We start from the raw sequence: 2,462 nt of genomic DNA on the forward strand, positions 1-2,462 counted from the left end.
TCAGCTATTGATACTTGCGTTTGCATCAAAATTTCTTGTGCTGTGTTTTTCAGCACCATCAGGTCATTTATGTTCCCCTTTAAATGAGACATTTTAGTTAGCAGCTCCTGTAACCTTTTATCATGTTTCTTAGCTTCTTTGCATTGGGTTAGAGCATGCTCCTTTAGCTCAGCCAAGTTTGTTATTACCCACTTTCTGAGGCCTACTTCTGTCAATTTTTCCATCTCATCCTCTATCCAGTTCTGTGCCCTTGCTGGTGAGGTGTTGTGATCATTTAGAGGAAAAGAGGCACTCTGGCCTTTTGAATTTTCAGCATTTTTTCGTTGATTCTTTCTCATCTCCATGACTTTGTCTAGTTTTGATCTTTGAGGATGCTGACCTTTGGATGAGGTTTTTGTGGGGACTTTTTGTTGATGCTGTTGTTGTTGCTTTCTGTTTGTTTTTCTTTCAACAGTCAGGTCCCTCTCCTGTAGGGCTGCTGCAGTTTGCTGGGGGTTCATTTCAGGCCCTATTCATCTCGGTCCCTCCCACACCTGGAGATTTCACCCTAGGAGACTGGAGAACACCAAAGATGGGTGCTTGCTCCTTCCTCTGGGTCTCTGTCCTTGAGGGGCACCAACCTGATGCCAGTAGGAACATTCCTGTATAAGGTGTCTGGTAAGTCCTGTTGGGGGGGTCTCACCCAGTCAGGGGCATGGGATCCAGGACCCATTTAACAAAGAACTTTGGCTCTCTGTTGATGGAAGGTGTGTCCTGTGCTGGGGGAAAATCAACTCACCTGGGCTGCCCAGATTCCTCAGAGCTAGCAGGGGGAAAGACTAAGTCTGTTGGTCTGAAGAGACCATGCCCACCCCTCCCTTTAGGGGCTTAGGCCCAGGGAGATCAGAGTTCTGTCCCTAAGCCCCTGGCTGGAGTTGCTGGAGTTCCAGCAGGCCTAGGGAACATCCCACCCAGTGAGAGGGAATGGGTCAGGGTTCTGCCTAAGAGGCAGCCTGGCCAGGATCTGCCACAGCTAGTGTGCTGCGCTGTGGGGAATGCCTCTTGGGACTAAGCCATCCAGTGTCCCAGGCTCAAGCAGGGGCAAAACAGCTGCCTGGAGCTGTAGAGATGGCTGTTGCCTTTCCCCTCTGGGAGTTCAGTGTCTGAGGCAGCTAGCAGCTGCAGTGATGGCTGCCATCCCTCTCGTGGGGATCTCGGTTTTCTTAGGCAGCAGGCAACTGCAGTGATGATGGCTGCCACCCCTCCCCCAGGGAGCTCAGTTGGCTTAGGCAGCAGCCACAGTGATGATGGCCACCCCTCCCCCTGGAACTCCACAGTCTTAGGCAGACTCCAGCTGAGTGGCTGTTGAGAATCTGCATGGCTCTGTGGTTGAGACTCAAGGCCCTGAGGGTGTGGGCTCATGAGTGGGATCTTCTGATCCACAGGTTGCACAGATCCGTGGAAAAAGCACGGTTTCACAAGCTGGGTAGCACACTCACTCACCGCCTCCTTTGGCTGTGTTTGGGGGCTCCCTTTGCCCCGTGTGACTCTCAGGTGAGGTGATGCACCACCCTGTTTTTCCTTGCTTTCTGTGGGTCATGCCAACCTCCTAGTCAATACTAATGATAGAATCTGGATACCTCCATTGCCGGTGCAGGATTCACATGCTGTTTTAGTTCTTCTCAGGTGGGAGCCTCCCACTGGAGCTGCCCCCATGATTTCCTTTCATGTACCCCCTTCAGTGTCCATCATTGCATCATTCATGATAATACAAAAAGCAGAAAACCAAGGTTAATAATTGTGTTTCTTGGTAAACTAAACCAGTGCAGATTTCTTTTTCTTTTCATTCAAACAAAAATGATCTTATTTTTAGCTTGAGGATTATTTAATTGCCTTCTCTTTTTTTGAAATGTATTATCAATAGAATTTAACTTATATTTAACAGAGGGCACTCTCTGCTCTTTTTACAGCTGAGGCTGCATTAATTTACCCAAGAGCATGTTGGTAGTACTGGTACTTAAACTTCTTTTGTTGGTGAAAGTAACCTTCAGCCAATATTCTTTAACTTTTTTTGTTTTTCTACACTATTGGTTTCTCTGGGTATCTCAGGCTTCAGAGTGTAGAGGGCAGTGTTTTTGTAAATCATCTATTAATTGGAAGATAGCTTCTTAAAAATGCAGATAAACCAATACTCTGACTGGTGAATTAGCACAGGAGCACTGATAATCCACCTGACTTGCCGGCTAATCTCCAAATGCTCTACTCAGATAGATCATTTCTGGCAAGCTCTATTTAAGGATTTCCTTAAAGTAATCCCTTTTTCAATTCATTAGATTTGCCTCTTCCAGGGTCACTGTTAGACTGCACAACTGGCATTCTCCTGAGTTCAGCTTTTTGTTACATCATTAATACAGCTCCAGATACTTCACTTCCACTTTTAAACTTCTGACCTGCAATGGTTGCACTTCCTTACTTTCTCTATT

The 2,462-nt window shown here is 46.7% G+C and overlaps 2 annotated features.

Annotated features, from left to right (window-relative positions):
- Window positions 671-1,172: an enhancer, noted in NCBI's record as "H3K4me1 hESC enhancer chr5:104287201-104287702 (GRCh37/hg19 assembly coordinates)". NCBI's record gives its function as "activates a minimal SCP1, AML or CMV promoter by ChIP-STARR-seq in naive H9 embryonic stem cells {active_cell/tissue: H9 hESC(naive)}" and the evidence as "EXISTENCE:reporter gene assay evidence [ECO:0000049][PMID:30033119]".
- Window positions 1,173-1,672: an enhancer, noted in NCBI's record as "H3K4me1 hESC enhancer chr5:104287703-104288202 (GRCh37/hg19 assembly coordinates)". NCBI's record gives its function as "activates a minimal SCP1, AML or CMV promoter by ChIP-STARR-seq in naive H9 embryonic stem cells {active_cell/tissue: H9 hESC(naive)}" and the evidence as "EXISTENCE:reporter gene assay evidence [ECO:0000049][PMID:30033119]".

The sequence above is a fragment of the Homo sapiens genome, chromosome 5 (genome assembly GCF_000001405.40).
Source record: "Homo sapiens chromosome 5, GRCh38.p14 Primary Assembly".
Classification (NCBI taxonomy): domain Eukaryota; kingdom Metazoa; phylum Chordata; class Mammalia; order Primates; family Hominidae; genus Homo; species Homo sapiens.